Consider the following 17,585-nt stretch of genomic DNA (forward strand, 5'->3'; position numbering starts at 1 on the left):
AAGGCAAAACAAGAGCAGATACTGTCTCACATGGCAGAGCAGGAACAAGGGGTGATGGCAGTCCCACACATTTCTAAAAATCAAGATCTCCTAAGAACTCACTCACTATCACAAGGCACCAAGCCATGAGCGCCCCCATGATCCAAACATCTCCCACCAAGCCCCACCACCAACATTGGGGATTTAAGTTCAACATGGGGTTTGGCAGGGACATATATTCAAACCGTATCATCCACTGAGAGTTAGCTGCTGCTCTGATTTGATTAATTTTCACTTTGGGACTCAGGCTAATGGAGCCACCTCAATCAGAAACGTTACCAGTCATTATGGCATTGTGAACCATATATGCTGGCTGTTAACACCTTCTGCTCAGAAGTGGCCCACATTTGTTTTGTTTTGTTTAGAATAAACACATCTGGAATGTTTCCCATACTTGATTGGTCAAAGCAAGTCACATGGCCACTTCTGGGTTCAACAGGGTAGGAATGCATAATCTTCCCATAGATAGAGACACCGTAGAGAGAAGCACCAAAATCATGGGTGAACCATAATATAGTTGACCACAGTGGGTTGTTATTTTACTCCTTAAAAAGTGGTCCTTATACTCAGAAATTCAACTAAAGTAGGCCTGTAACTACAGTACTTTTTGCCTATGTGGCTGGATTTAAAGATTAACAATACAAGGCATTCAATCTAAAGACATCAAATATTTTTATGTGTGGTAGATATTCTGTGATCTTTCTTATAAAAGGGTATTCTTTCATTGTTTTATCATGGATAAACATATAGCAATTTACAGTCATCAGAAAATTAGAATCTCAAAATCTAAATTATAAGGGTATAAGTGAGCTAGATACCTATACTTTTTCCTAATAGCTCTTATTCACAAATACATGACTGAAAGGATGGAAGAAGAGTGTGTGTGTGTGTGTGTGTGTGTGTGTGTGTGTGTGAGAGAGAGAGAGAGAGAGAGAGAGAGAGAGAGATTGAGAATTGAGGAGGAGGGCAGACCTACCTAGAAATTCAATACCTTGTCCAGAGAGAGAGAGAGATTGAAATTGAGAATTGAGGGGAAGGGGAGACCTACCTAGAAATTAAATACCTTGTCCAGCACTGGAAGTTCCTAATACAACTTGTTAGTTCTGCCAGGAACCACCATGGACAGTTCCCATGGCACGCCTTTGCTTCAGAGAGAATCACCACGTTCTTGGGGTAAGTACATTCTGCACAACCCATTAACTCCATGCAAAAGTGACCATATTTCTCATTGTTGAAAGGTGTGAAGTTCTAGGATAAACAGCTAGATTTATCATCTTTTCAAGTAAAAGGAATATTTGAGTCATGGAATGCCACTTGCAGTTTCTAATAATACAAATATACTTGGGATAAAAACAAGTATCTTCAATAAATAATCTTTATCTTTAATAAATAAGCATTTTAGTGAAATTACAGAGCTTTGACAGCCTAATAAAGATACTTCTGTATCATCAGATATCAGAGAAATGCCTAAAAGGTGATCTTGGCAAGGCAGAGAAGAATTAAAAGATCTTTGCCAGTGATCCTGTCTTGGCTGTATCCACCAGAATGAAGACATAAGATTCAGCCCTCAAACACTAATCCAAGCTTGTGGAGCTGGCATGACTTAGTCTAGCAAAGTAAGTGGTCTTCCAAGTCGAGCATACTGAGTCTGAATCCTATTTCTGCCACTCACCAACCATGTGACCTTGAACAAATTAATCTCTCTGAGCATTGATTTTCTCACCTGTAAAATGAGAATAACAGCCCTTATTATTATGGCTGTGGTGGAGATTAAATGAGATAATATTCGTGGCACATGGTAAGTCCTTAATAAAGCATAGCTGTCATCAATCAATCAGTCATCAGCAACTTCATCTTCATCTTCATCATCATGAGCCAATCTATAGAAGGAACTAGGGAGCTACAAAGGAAGCTCAATCATAAAACATTCCACAGGCTGATAGAGGTAATGTTTGTTTTCACAAATACATTTTTAATGTCACTACATATCCTAGATTTCTGATTTTTAAAACATCATGATTACTTTCATCAATTAACTGACTAGTGATTGATTTAATGCCTTATTTAAAAGGGTTTAGAAAATATGGGTATTACAGTCCTAATTGTTTTTCTCATTAAATTCAGCAGCAACCATAGTACCACAAAAATGAGTGTCTTCATAATTGAACTATTTCCATTCTCACTGAGAAGTGTCTGAAATTTGTAATTTTATTAACTGAAATGAGTCTTCATCCTCATGCAGAAAGAAAAAGCATCTGCTCCTAATAATAATGCCATGAAAAAATTATCACAAAAATCAGACATTTTGTATTTCCTCCTTGGATAAATTTGCAAAAAAACCTCATCACTTTGTAGGGTTCTCTTGAGGGTGAAACTTAAATCCATCCAAAAAGTGTTGCCTTCTGAACTTAATTGCTACCAAATTATTTTATTTGCATAAGCCAATTTTTACTGGGTGAAGCACAATTTGTAGGATGAAGTTTTTCTGAAAGGCATAATGGGGAAAAATTAATTATAGTGCTCTAGAGTTCACCCAAAAGCACAGAAAATACACATTAATAAATGACTTTGTGTGGATATCTGGAGCTCATAGAGGTATGGCTATTTCTCTCCCTGAGATAGGAATGACTTTTTCCCAGGTACTCTGGAAGCCATGGTAGCTTTGGTAGACATATTACTGAAATATAGCCCAAAAGTAGACAGGCACTTTAGGCTTGCCACTTCATTTCACCAAAATGCCGTTCTACATCAGGTCTCTGAATTGTCGTTTCACTCAGAGTTTATTAATCTAAAATTTGCTTTCTCGCTTGAAGAGATGAAAATTAGAGATGCTTTCCTCATGAGCTACCCTCTCTTACTATGAAACCCCAAGAGAGTACTGTTCATAAATGAACCATACATGAAAGAGGAACTATAGCTAGAGAACAAAAATATGAAGACATGTCCAAAGAAAGGCAAACTTTAGGAATTGTAAATTTATCATTTTTAAAACAAATAAATCAATATTGGGCAAGAACGTTGAGAAACAGATACTCTTATCCATTGTGGGTAAAACTATAAACTTAATATTAACTTTTTGAAAGTTGGTACTGTGTTTCCAAAACTAAGAATATGGAAATCTTATCAAAGGCAGGTGAAGACCATGGGGTTTAGAGTTGGAGGCCTGTCTTTAAATCCCTATCCATTACCTGCTATGTGACTCTAGACAGCTTTCTCAACTTCTCTGAACCTCAGAATCCTCATTTATAAACATTGGGATAATAATATCATCAACTCCTTAGAGCTGTTGTGAAAATCAATGGAGATAATATCTGCAAAGTATTTATCACAGAGCATGTTAATTTTCTATTGCTACATAGCACACAAATACCACAACTTTAGCAGCCTAAAACAATAAACATTTCTTATCTCACAGCATCTGTGGGTTGGGAGTCTGAACATGGACCACTGAAAAACGTGAGACAAATGGCCATCATTTAGGAAATGCAAACTCAATGTGGGTGAAGCATACTGTGAAGTGCAAGAGGGTAACTGAACTCCAAAACCAATAGAAACAAATCAGAATTCTTCTGGCTCCCTACTGATGCTTTCAGACCACAAAACTCATACGATTATCAGAGAGTTGACCTGAGTATAATGATAACAGAAGTGGTAAGCTTAGAAGCAATAATAGTAGTATAAAACAGCTCTTTTCAAGCTCCAGTCATTTGGCCACACCTGCCTCCTCCTCTCCTTACCTCTGGCATCTGATCTCTTTATTCCATTCCTTCATTCCTTGAGGATAATGTGAGGTACCAAAGTTCCACCCTCCAATTTCTGTACCATTATTATCTTTTGCTCCATCAAGGTCTAAGAAAACTACCATCAAATATTCTGGCTTTACAAATCCTTTGACTCTCACAACCCACTGCAGCCGTCCTTTACCTATGGCCAAGCTCTCAATTTTGACAGCATCTCAGAAATCTTAGATTCCATCTTCCCCCCGAGCACAGTGTTTGATCCTTTCTACTCTCTCAAATTTTCACTTCCATTTCATCAGCCTTCTCCCTCAGAAGAGCTTCCAGAGCCTGGAACTCTATTTTATCTCCCATTGCATCAGATACCTTCTATATCCATATCTCTTTTTTTTTTTTTTTTTTGAATGAGAGAGAATCTCACTCTGTTGCCCAGGCTGGAGTGCAGTGGCATGATCTCAGCTTACTGCAACTTCTGCCTCTCGGGTTCAAGCAATTCTCCTGCCTCAGCCTCCCAAGTAGCTAGGATTACAGACGCACAACACCACGCCTGGCTAATTTTTTATTTTCAGTAGAGATGGGGTTTCACTATGTTGACCAGGCTGCTCTTGAACTCCTGACCTCAAGTGATCTACCCGCCTCGGCCTCACAAAGTGCTGGGATTATAGGTGTGAGCCACTGTGTTTGGCCCTATATCCATATCTTTCCCAATGAGATCCAATGGCCCATCCCTTCAAACACTCTCTTACCTCTTGAATTTATTTTATTTTTACTTTAATATAATTATAAAATATGTATATGTGTGCTGGTTATTCTTCATTATTTCCTCTACCCCACATCCAATGCCCACTCTTCTCTGTCCTGCTCTTGCCCTGGGAGGCTAACCCCTGTGGATCACACACTTCAAGTTTCCGTGCCACATGGCTTCTGGTTGAATTCAATCAATAGGAAGCACCAGCAAGATATTAGTAGGAGGGAAGAAAAACAGGTCAGGGTGGCACTTACTTCCGTACACCAGCTCTGACACTCCGGCTGTGACACTGTGACTCAAACAGGAAAAACTTGAAACTCTATTTATACCTTTCTCCCTTCTCCTCTATAAAACAAAAGCCTTAAGTCACTAGTATGGGGCAGCAAATTCTGTCGCCCCAGGGAACAAATGAAGATCTACTGCAGCTGGGGACAGAATAAAAGAAAAAAGGGTGAAAAAAGGAAAGAAAGAGTAAAAGAAAAAACATAACAGTCCTGGGCCCAGAATACTGTACCAACACAATTAAAGGTCTCCTACCACTGGAGGACAACAGAAAACTCCCTCCATACAAGATCTGCTGCAAGTACAAAACAGAGTTTGGCTTCCATGGAGAGGAGGAACAGGATGACTGAGATGCCACACTAAAACTCTGGCACAAAAGACCTAAGACTCAGACTAGATCAGGATAACAGAAAAAATATCCTGACCTCTACCACCAGACTTAGCAAGTACCAAGTAAAAAGCAACAATAGACTACCTCTAGGGGAGGTGCAAGAGCATGGAGAGAGACCCCACTGCAGAATGATGCACAAGGAAAGCAGAAAGCTAAAACGAAAGCAGGAACATTGAGGAAAACTCTCCGGTACCACAGTCCCCATTCTAACAAAGTTAACACCAGAGGAATTTGAAGTTAGTGGTATACAAATATAACCATAACAACAACAGCATCCAAATCTAGCTCAACTCCTGACTCAATTGACTCAGCCCCTGTCATCTACCATTACCATCAAATATATACACTAATGGTCTTGCAGAAGAAATTGTGTGCCCATTTCCAGGCACAAATACTATATATCTCATGCTCTGCTATCCTACGTGCAATGGACAGCATTGTATTAAAAATTATAAGACACTCACACAAAGGCAAGGGAAAAACCCACTGTCAAAAGACAAAGCAATCAACATTACAAAACGAAGAGATGACCTAGGTGTTTGAACAATCTGACAGGAAATATATAATTACTATGATTAATATCTTAAAGGTTCTAGTGGAAAGGATGGATAACACATATGAACAAATGGAAAATTTCAGCAGAGAGAAAAATCCAATATAAATGCTTAGAAGTTTAAACACATTTAATAACAGAGATGAAGCATGTCTTCAATGTTATCATTAGTAGAATTGATGCAGTTGAGGAAAGAAAAAGTGAACTTTAATGGTAAGTCAATTACAATTATCTAAACTGAAATATAAAGAATAAAAAGAATAAAACAAACAGAACAGAGCATCCAAAAGCAGTGGGACAATATTCATGATCTAACATACATGCAATTAAAAATCCAAGAGAGGAGAAAGACAATGAGGCAGAAGAAGTATTTGAAGAGTATGGTTGAGAATTTTTCAAAAATAATGAAATACATCAAACTATAGATCCAAAAATCTTAGAGAGCCCCAAGTAAGATAGAAACCCCCCATAAAAAGCACATAGACACATCATATTTAAACTTCAATATGTAAACCAAAGAAGAAGAGAAAGCCCTGAAGGCAGCTAGAGGAAAAGAACATATTGCATCCAGAGAAACAAAGGTAAGAATTACAAAGACTTCTTGTCAAAAAATATACAAGCCCAAAGACAATGGAAAGAGATCTTTAAAGTGCTGCGGGTGGGAATGGGGAGGGGCGGGGAAGTTCAATCCAGATTTCTACACTTAGCAAAAATATCTTTCAAAAATGAAAGTAAAATTAAGACTTTTTTAAATAAAATCTGTTCTGAACAATTTTTAGGAGTCACCGATACATGGTTAGCAGTGTTTCAGGAAACCCTGAAATCACACTGGAAGAGTCTGTCAAGACAGAAGAGAGAGGAGGCGGTTCCAAGATGGAGCTGGAGAACACCAAGACTAAAAGACACAGAGAATGAGAACTGTGCTGGTCTCCAGGTTCATCTGCTTTCTTAAACTAACCATGAGCCAAGAAACAAGTGGAAGAGGCCAGATGAAAGGGAAAAGAAGAGCTAACACCATATGAGCTCTTAGTAACGCCAGGTATTGCTCTCAGCACTTTGCATTCTTATTCTTATCAATTTATTGTATTTAATTCTCACAGCAGCCCTGCCAGTCAGATGCTTTATCCCATTTAACAAATGTGAAAACTGAGGCACAGAGGTTAGACAATTCCCTTATGGTCACATAGTAAGTGGTAGAGCTGGGATCCTGATATGGTTTGGCTGTGTCCACACCCAAATCTCATCTTGAATTATAGTTCCCATAATCCCCACATGTCATAGGAGGAACCCAGTGAGAGGTCATAGAATCATGGGGGCAGTTACCCTCATGCTGTTCTCATGATAGTGAGTTCTCCTGAGATCTGATGGTCTTATAAGGGGCTTTTCCCCCTTTGCTCAACACTCATTCTCTCTCCTGCCACCCGTGAGGAGGTGCCTTCTGTCATGATTGTAAGTTTCCTGAGGCCTCCCTAGCCATGTGGAACTATGAGTCAATTAAACCTCTTTTCTTTGTAAATCACCAAGTCTCGGGTATTTCTTCATAGCAATGTGAGAATGGACTAATACAGATCCCAAGCCAGAGGTTTAACCCACACCCCTTTTCCTTCCCACTGTGCTATATAACCTCCAAAGGTGATAGGAAGGAAGCACTGCTATATTCATAGCCACACAACCCTCAGTCACAATGGAAGCCTAAAACCTAGAGGGGAAGTAGATATCCCAGCTTTTTCTAAGAGACTGACAGAGGTTCCTGATGAAGGATATCTGCCATTGACTTTCCGTGAGATACAGGGACTCATATACCCTGAAGGTGTCCAATCCAGACCTTGGATCCACATTTTGTTTCCTTCTAAATGGCAATGCTGGCCCTAAGGTCATACATATTTCCTCATTCAACAGAAGCCTGCTGCATATCTGTGGAACTCCCCTAACAAAATAGGACAAGTAACCCAGCCCTAGGAAGATGGGATTAATCATAGAATTTTTAAAAAATAATATAAGGTACTTCTTTAGTCATGAACATAATTTCTATTAGTCTGGGAGAGCAGAACTTGGCTCTAAAATGCTAGTTCTGCAAAGCCAGGGAAGAAACTTTATAAACTGAAACAGTACATTATAATAAATGAAGGGTCTGTTTGGTAGCAGGAGGGACAGTCTTTTTAGCAATGCTCTATCCCAGAGATATTTTTCCTGACAAAGATGGTAGAATCATTGTACTGAGAGTGTAGGACTAAAGAATAAACGGAGCTTTGTCTTGTGCTTTGGTTTTATTTTAACTACTATACGAGGGGGGAAAGAGAACTGGTATTTCACATACCAGAAATTAGAATGGAATTTTTAGAGTATTAGAACAGCAAGTTTAGCTTTTGGTAGAAACAGACTTTAAAGCTATGGTCTATTTTAAGTTCAGTTATATCTAAATTGACTAAGAAATGCAGTTTATAAACCATTATTACCTTCTATACTAGTCATGTTTTATGACTTTCTATAATTGTTTAAAACATATTCCATGGTTCTTGAAGGGCACAAATACATGGTAAGTTTACCTGTCACTTAGGCAAAAATGGCAAAGACCTTTACCACCAAGGATAGCAAGGCCAAGTTTACTTGGGACCTTGTCTCCATCTGATTAATGAGTAAATATTTAGCTCTTGAATGGCAAAAATATACTGAATTCTGTAGCTTTTCTCATCAGCAAATAGAAAAGAAGACAATTTACAAACAGCATGGAATTAATGGTTTCAGTGTCTCCTTGAGAACTTCCCTATAAAAACTTATTTGCTTCTTAAAGGAAGACTCACATTTCTGTTTCCTATTTTTCTTTCTCAGAGAGGGAACTTGTATTACTCTATTTCCAGAGAAGAAGAACACACCAACAGACTGATGGGGAAAGGCAATGAAAATAAACTGTAGGAATAGGACCAGAAGAGTTGAAATAAGAATGCAGAGCCCTAGGCTGTAGGTCTGTGTGGCCTAGGACTCTGCATTGCCAACCAGCTCCCAGGTGATGCTTATAGAGCTGGTCTGAGGACCACACTCAGGATAGCAAGGGTACAGGAAGCATCCCTACAAGTACACCCCAAGACATTGACTCTGGGTGGCTGGAGCCCTGAGCTGGTCACATTCAGCTTCTGCAGCTTCCCCTGGGGCTTCAAATCTTGCCAGTTTGTCACAGTGCGTAACAAAAGTATCTTCTCAGTGTGCCCTGATGGGTAAAAGGTTGAGAAACACTGCTTTAGAGGCCTGGAGGTGAAGATTTGCCTTTCAGGAGCAGGGGCCTAAGAAAATGTCTTTAGAAATCATGCAGAGGGCAAAACGTGGAAGAAAATTTGAGTAAAAACAAGCTCAACATGGGAATGCTCTGAGGCCAAGAGAAAGCAAGGCCAGAGTAGCTATATATGAATGCACTGTAGCATGGTGGCAAACACTCATGCCTTAAGAGACATTCAAATTTAAATTTAAAATTAAATTAAATACAATATAAAAAGAGATATTCAGGAGTAAGAGAGGTAAAGACCAATATGAAATTTTGCAGTAAACACAGGCCAGGGCCAGAAGGATGGAATTTGGAAAAAGTAGGCTAGAATCAGATTTGAGATTAGCCATTCCTGGAAGAGTTTGCCAAAATCTTGAGAAGGAATTGGAATTTAAGCAAGAACACATCTGTCATTATATTAGATGATGGACATGCATGTGACTGCTTCTTTTTTTTAATAGACTTTATATCATTCATCCGTGTTATATTTTTGTTCTCATCCCTTTTGTTTCCAATGATTGGAGCATTAAGGAATGTCTTCAGATATTGTAAATGAGTCCTGGGTGGTGAACCCTGGACATACTCAGCCAAGCATCTGGTCTTAATGCCTTATATAAGGACTTTTATATAAGGATGGAATTTGGAAAAAGTGGGCTAGAATCAGATTTGAGATTAGCCATTCCTGGAAGAGTTTAAGGCTGGCATTCCTTAACTAAATTAGTCCCATATCCAGTACTTACAAGAGATCTCAGTGCCTGGTTGCTTGCAGCAAAGAAACTCTGTGGTTAAGTCCTCCTGTCAGCCTTTCCCCAAAGTCCTGCACCAAACAGGACCTTTATCAATCCACTGGTTCCCACACTGAAGACCATGGCTGTGAGCTATGCTCTGTCTTCATCATGTTAGTGTCATAACATCATTCCCTGGAGAACTTTGTCTTCACTCTCCTAGCAACATTAGCTGGGCCCTTTCCAGGGGTTCAAGTTTATCTTCCTTCCTTGCCTGGAATGTTTCTTGAATGTTTGTAACTGTTTGACTTAAAGACGTCTCAATATATGAATTAAACCTATTTGCTGTTTGTTCCAATATGGTGAATAGTTCAGACCCGTAAGGTTGGGTCCATTCCGTCCAACCCACTTGACACCTCAGAGTTTCTCCTTTCTTCCTTGTGTGTTAAACAGGCACAAATTGAGTTGCAATCAAAGTGCAACTGGATTTTTATCACCCACTGACTTTTTAAAATCAACTCCCTGCCCTTGGATGAAAACTTGGTAGGTGCCATGGCCTCTTCTGTTCTTTCTTGGGTTGTAGACTCTCCTGGGGCCCATAAATTACAAAACAGATCAACTGAGTAATTTGAATGTTCAGTCCAAGACATTAGTCAAAACTTCGAATTTGATTTATTGTTAAATACACCATATATACTCTCCTCCTCCAGTTCGAATTTTCTTGCAGTGGCAAAAAGTGATGTGGTTGGTTTTGTCTCTTTTTTTTTTTTTTTTTTTTTTTTTTGAGACGGAGTTTCGCTCTGTCGCCCAGGCTGGAGCGCAGTGGCGCGATCTCGACTCACTGCAAGCTCCGCCTCCCGGGTTCACGCCATTCTCCTGCCTCAGCCTCCCAAGTAGCTGGGACTACAGGCGCGCGCCACCATGCCCGGCTAATTTTTGTATTTTTAGTAGAGATGGGGTTTCACCATGTCAGCCAGGATGGTCTCGATCTCCTGACCTCGTGATCCGCCCGTCTCGGCCTCCCAAAGTGCTGGGATTACAGGCGTGAGCCACCGCGCCCGGCCTGGTTTTGTCTCTTGACCATTGCTTAGAGTGGTGCAAGTTGGGCACTAGGCAACTCCAGGGAAGTGGGAAAGGGCCCACCATTCATACTCAGGCCTTTTCCTATGTGCACAAAGATGCCATTTGGTGAGACGCTTCTTGGCTTCTTCCCCTTCTCTCCCCCTGCTCTGGCTTGCCAGGTAAGGGACGGGAAATACCTTCTCCAAATTGGTGCCCCTCTCAGTTAGAGTTACACTGTCTGCTCTGGCCAAAGTTTAAGGCTGGCACTCTTTTGTAGGCTCTTCTGAAGATTTGGGGGGAATTCTCCTGCAGGCCAATCCAGCTGCGATTCAGTCATGGGGGTTGGGGAGCGACACCAGCTTTCCCATCTGGCAGCCTCCGGTCCCCCCCAGCTCTCCTTTCCTGGGAATTTACCCACACCTACTTGCACTGTTGGAATTCCCTTCTATCGGGTGAAGACCCTCTTGGTTAGGACTTAGTCAGGTCCAGGCCAGCTCTTTCTCTGTTATGTGGGAATTGCTGCAAGTCCACCCCAGCATGACCTGTTGCCACCATCTGTGAGTTCTCTCAGTTGTGAGCACAGGTCACCTGTGTTCTCAACTGCAGGGAGCACATGTCAGCTCTCCAGGAGGTCCCATGGCAGCCCTCTCACCAGACTTGAAATGGGGGTAGCCCTCACCTCTCACCAGAGGGGAGTGGGGCTTACAACCAGATGGCATTTCTCTCCAAAGAAATTCATTTATGCTGTGTCCTTGTTCCGTTCCAACCAATCTCTATTTCCTTAATCTGGCTGAAGGGCTCAACAATATGGAACAGTTCCACACAGTTTCCTATGTAAATGAAGGAATCCGTCTTACACTCGTTTTGGTACCTGTTGGTCATTGTACTGGGGCATCTTGAAATTAAACCCCAATTATATCCATTTTAGAGCCACTCCATTCTTCCTCTCCTAGTATTAACAAAGCATTAAGAGTAAACTTTCAGGGAAAACTGCAATTCTCCTTTTCAACTCAACAGGAAAGACAATAGCAGAGCTCATGGGGTAATAATCTCTGTCCAGCCCTAGGCAGCCAAGCTGAAGGTCTTCTTGGACTTCTCTCAGGCACAAGCTCCATGAGAGGCAGGCAGGCTTCTGGTCTAGCCTGTGATAGTATGATTCTTTGATTACCATCAATTTGGTAATTCTCTTAGGGCTAAAGAACCAAGTGTTAAATACATCAAGTTGAACAAAACACCCTGAGAGAGACACATATCCCAAAGTATTTGGCTTTTAAGATGAATGTGAATTCTTATATTTTTAAATATTGTATTTCACATTTTTGGGAAGTTCCTCTCAAACTCTCACTGCTAGCCACAGAACAATTCCAAAACGATGGCTCTTCTTTGATGGCCCAAAGAAACGGTTTCAGAGAAGCCCCCAGTGCTCAGAACTCCATAGTCAACATTTATGGGTGAAATTGAGCTTGCAGAGCAAATGTGCCAGCTGCTTATTATTGTGAGGAGGATGTATGGGAAGGAGGGTGATCTCTGTGGCTAATGGAGTCCCGGCTACACCACTGAACAATGGACTGGAAAACCTAAAATCAAAGTCTTTCTGTTCCTGCCCTGAAGGACTCCAATAAACTTGGTGTCCCAGGAAATCCTAGTCCAGTCCAGACTGGAATCTAGAGTCTGGCTGTTTGAAAAACTTGTGGGCTGGGGACTCCTCCAGGTGTCTATTTGCCCAGCGTGGTAGCCCTAAGGGGTGTGTGTTTGTGTGTATGTACATGCATATCCAGCCCCCTCGATTATTTTTGAATCTCTGAAGAAAAATTAGAGGCAGACACTGGAGTAACTGTTTTCATGAGGGAATGTGTACGACACTGAGCACTTGAGGTCCTGCTTTGGAACCTTGGAGATGAATGAGGTACAAAGTTAGAGATGGGACTACCCTCCCCACCTCTGCATTGAGTCTATGACCAGGAGATGACACCTCAACACAGACGCTGGTGTTCTCATGGGGCACAGCACAAGGTGCCACTTGGGTCTCTCAGGCTGTTCTGTGAATGGAAGACAGTGGCCAGGAAAGCCAGAGGAGATGGCAGCAGATCCCTTCAGCAGCTGTGCCAGATGGACTGGTCCCTGAGGCAGCCTCTCCCAGCCTCTCAAAATACCTAAGGCTGGGGTGATGTCACCTGAGTAGGTGAGGGCATGAATGGGAAATGTAGGAGACTGACTATAGCAGTGCTTCCTGTGGGTCCACAGACAGACTCAGCCTTGATTCCTGACATTCAGCCAAGAAGCAGAGTGTATACAATGGGAGCTCTTACAAAAAAACAGTTGAACCTGGTTATAACATGACTCACATTGCATGGGTTAGGGCTTATTCTGGGGCAAATGCAGACTGGAAACAAATCCAGCACCTACCCCAACCTTGGAGTGAATAGAATCATCTCCAAATTCCCTCTGAGTGTGCAAATGCAAATTCTGGGCTCATTTCTGGAAAGTCTGATTGAGCAGATGTGAGGTGAGGCCTGGTTATCTGCTATAAGCACCCTCGGGAGCTTCCAAGCAGTAAGCCAAGGCCCAAGCTTTGACAAACACTGTCTAACAGTAATAAACCACCCAGCTGACTCACATGGCCAAAAATTGGAAACATTTTAATTCCTGTAAGATTGAAGGTGAACATCTGTACACCAAGGGTTATTATCCTGGCCCCCCTCCTCAAATAAGTTGTTTCTGATAGCAGGAGAAGTCTTTAAAGATGGTCTTGCTGCTGAAGGTCTCAAAGGTGACAAAAGTGTCCACCTGGCTGCCAGGTGAAAAGCTAGACTTTGCAAACAGGAATTTCCCATCTGAGGACACCTGCAACTTCCACATGTTTGCCTTGTGATCAGAATAAGGTCAGTCGTGAAAGGACCCTTGAACAAATGAATGAGGCAGACAAACAAGGTGCCATGGCTTTGTTCTGTGGGTAGAATGAAGAAAATGTGTTAAGTTGTCCAATGAGAAAGAAGACACAAAGGAACCATCCCCAGTGAAGGAAACTGACGCAACTGTCTTCATGAGCTTGCAAGGGAGAACAAAATGTTCAGAAGCTGAGCCCCCAAAACTTCAGAGACCTGGAATGAAAAGTGTGGGTGGTAAGGGAGGTAATAGGCAGAGTAACACAGCCTTAGGGATGGCCCGGCCTGACCACGGTGATAAAGGAGCTGTCTACACAATAGTGTTACCAACTTGAGGGGAGTTGGTATCTGCCTTAGCCTGGGGAAAAGCAAGAGGGCATCAAGCAGGGGAAGAGGAAGAAGGTCTGAAGGGTAGGCTGAGAGAAACAGAAGCCCACAGAGAGGGCTAGAGAGGCAGGGGGCAGGGCAACAGCCTAGAAGGCAGCCCTTGCCAAAATACCAAGCTAAGCCAGCGGTAGTATTCTATGTAATGTGTTTAATTGTATTGCTGCTGACTTATTTCCAGCTGTTATTCAGTTAATGTCCCAACTTCCTTGGACAGGAATAAATTTCAGGTCTTATTTCATTCCACAGTTCACTGGTTCTCCAACTCTAGTGTGCATCAGAACCACGTGGAAGGCATGTCAAAATACAGATCTGTGGGCCCCAACCCAGGGCTTCTGACTCAGCTGGGCCAGGGCCTCAGAAATTGCATTCTCACCAACTCCACGGTGATGCTGATGCTGCTGGTCTGAGCACCACACTTTAAAAACCACTAATAAAGAGCATCCTTCCCTTAAACAGGTAAAAGAAGATGGGAGGAAGCTGGAGACAAAGAGAATAAAGGAGCCTGGTAGGAGGCAGTCTGCAACAATGTAGGTAGGGCAGGTTACTCTATGCAGACTGATTTCAGTGCTCATGGGAAAGTTAAGAATAAGAAGATGTTTATATCAGCAGATTGATGCAATAAGCTTCACATGCAGAATTTACTACCTTGATTTGAAAGCAAATACCCCTGGGGAGAAAATAAAATTTATCAGTCATTTACACCTTACTCTGAATGAGTTTTAAATTTCATATCTATATGTCAGATTGTCATCTGTGAATATAGATCATTTTACTTCTTCCTTTCCAATTTGGATGCCTTTTAGTTCTTTTTGTAGCTTGACTGCTCTGGCTGGAACTTCCAGTACAATGTTGATTAGCAGTGAAGAAAGTAGGCTTCCTTGGCTTGTTCCTGAGTTGAGTGGGAAAGCTTTCAGTCTCCCACCATTGAGTGTTAGGCCATTCTTGTGTTGCTATAAAGAGATACCTGAGGCTGGGCCATTTATAAAGAAAAGAGGCTTAATTGGCTCACAGTTCTGCAGGCTATACAGGAAGCATGGTGCTGGCATCTGCTCACCTTCTGGGGAGGCCACAGGGAGCTTTTACTCATGGCAAAAGGTAAAGTGGCAGCTTGTACATTACATGGTAGGAGCAGGAGCAAGGGGGTTGGGGAAGGTGCCACACTTTATAACAACCAGATGTCATGAGGACTCACTCACTATCAGGAGGATAACAGCAAGCCATGAGAGATCTGCCCCCATGAGCCAAACACCTCCCACCAGGCCCCACCTCCAACATCAGGGATTACAATTCAATATGAGATTTGGTGGGGACATATATTCAAACTATATCATTCTGCCCCTGGCCCCACAAATCTCATATGCTCCTCATAGTGCAAAATATAATCATGCCTTCCCAAGAGCACCCCAAGGTCTTAATTCATTCCAGCATGAACTCAGAAGTCCAAAGTCTCATCTGAGACAAGGCAAGTCCCTTCCGTCTATGATACTGTAAAATCAAAAGCAAGTTATTTACTTCCAAAGTACAATGAGGGTACAGGCATTGGGTAAACATTCCCATTCCAAAAGGGAAAAAATTGGCCAAAAGAAAGAGATGAGAGGTGCCGTGGAAGTTCAAAACCCAGCCAGGCAATCATTAAATCTTAAAGCTCCTGAATAATCTCCTTTGACTCCATGTCCCAGATCCAGGGCACATTGCTGCAACAAGTGGGCTCCTAAGGCCTTAGGCAACTCCACCCCCACCTGTGTCTCTGTGGTGTCTACTCACCATGGCTGTTTTCATGAATTAGAGTTGGTAGCCTGTGGCTTTTCCAGGTGCAGAGTGCAAGCTGCTGGTGGATCTACCATTCTGGGATCTGGAGGACAGTGGCCTTCTACCCACAGCTCCACTAGGCAGTGCCCCAGTAGGGACTCTGTGAAGGGCCTCCAACTCCACATTTCCTCTCTGCACTGCCCTAGTAGAGGTTATCTGTGAGGGCTCTGCCCCTACAGCAGGCTTCTGCCTGGGCACCCAAGCTTTTTCATACATCTTCTGAAATCTAGGGGTAACCTTCCAAGCCTTATTCACTCTTGCATTCTGTGGATCCACAGGCTTAACATCATGTGGAAGCTGCCAAGCCTTACTGCTTACACCCTCTGGAGCTAGAGCAGAGGCCCGAGTTGTACCTGGATCCCTTTGAATTGTGGCTGTAGCTGGAGCTGCCTAGGTGTAGGGAACAGTGTCCTGAGGCTGCACAGAGCAGCAGGGCCCTGGGCCTGGTCCCCAAAACCATTCTCTCCTAGGCCTTTGGACCTGTGATGGGAGGGGCTGCCTCTGAGATCTCCAAAATGCCTTCAAGGCCTTTTCTCCCATTGTCTTGGCTATCAGCACCTGGCTCTTTCTTAGTTATGCAAATCTCTCTAGCAAGTGATTGCTCCACAGCCTGCTTGGATTCTTCCCCTGAAAACAGGCTTTTCTTTTCTACCACATGTCCAGGCTGCAAATTTTCCATACCTCTACCCTCTGCTTCCCTTTTAAATATAAATTCCAACTTTAGGTTATTTATTTGCTCCCACATCTGAATGTAGGCTATTAGAAACAGCCAGATCATATCTTGAATATTTTGCTGCTTAGAAATTTCTTCTACCAGATACTCTAGGTCATCACTCTCAAGTTCAAACTTCCCTAGATCCCTAGAGCATGGACACAATACATCCAAATCTTTGCTAAGGCATAACAGGGTGACCTTTGCTCTATTTCCTAATAAGATCTTCATTTCCATCTGAGACCTCAGCAGCCTAGACTTCACTGTCCATATCACTATCAGCATTTTGGTCACAGTGAATTAACCAGTCTCTAAGAAATTCCAATCTTTCCCTCATATTCCTGCCTTCTTCTGAGCCCTCCAAACCCTTCCAACTTCTGCCTCTTATCTAGTTCTATAGCTGCTTCCACATTTTCAGGTATCTTCATAGCAATGCCCAACTCCCAGTACCAACTTTTTGTGTTAGGCCATTCTTGTGTTGCTATAAAGAAATACCTGAGACTTGGTAATTTATTTTAAAAAGAGGTTTATTTGGTTCACTGTTCTACAGGCTGTACAGGAAGCATGGTGCTGGCACTTGCTCAGCTTCTGGGGAGGACTCTGGGAGCTTTTACTTATAGCAGAAGGCAAAGCAGGAGCTTGCACATCACATTGTGGGAGCAGGAACAAGAGAGAGTTGGGGCCAGCTCTCATGAGAACTCACTCACTATCAGGAGGACAGCACCAAACCATGAGGGATCTTCCCCATGACCCAAACACCTCCCACTAGGCCTCACCTCCAACAGTGGGGATTACAATTCAACATGAGATTTGGTAGGGACATATAGTCAAACTATGTCACCAACTGTGAGTAAAACTCATATTTGAGGAGGTTCAGAGGGTAAGGAGAAAGGAAAGGCACAGAGACTGGATATGGCCTATAATTTATTCATTTTAACCTCATTTTACCCATGGCTAGTCTGAGGCTGAGAGATTGATTGATTGATTGATTGATTGAGA

The 17,585-nt window shown here is 42.2% G+C and overlaps 1 annotated feature.

Moving 5' to 3' along the window:
- Window positions 16,104-16,721: an enhancer, noted in NCBI's record as "OCT4-NANOG-H3K27ac hESC enhancer chr8:103203063-103203680 (GRCh37/hg19 assembly coordinates)". NCBI's record gives its function as "activates a minimal SCP1, AML or CMV promoter by ChIP-STARR-seq in primed H9 embryonic stem cells {active_cell/tissue: H9 hESC(primed)}" and the evidence as "EXISTENCE:reporter gene assay evidence [ECO:0000049][PMID:30033119]".

This window comes from Homo sapiens, chromosome 8 (genome assembly GCF_000001405.40).
Source record: "Homo sapiens chromosome 8, GRCh38.p14 Primary Assembly".
Lineage (NCBI taxonomy): Eukaryota > Metazoa > Chordata > Mammalia > Primates > Hominidae > Homo > Homo sapiens.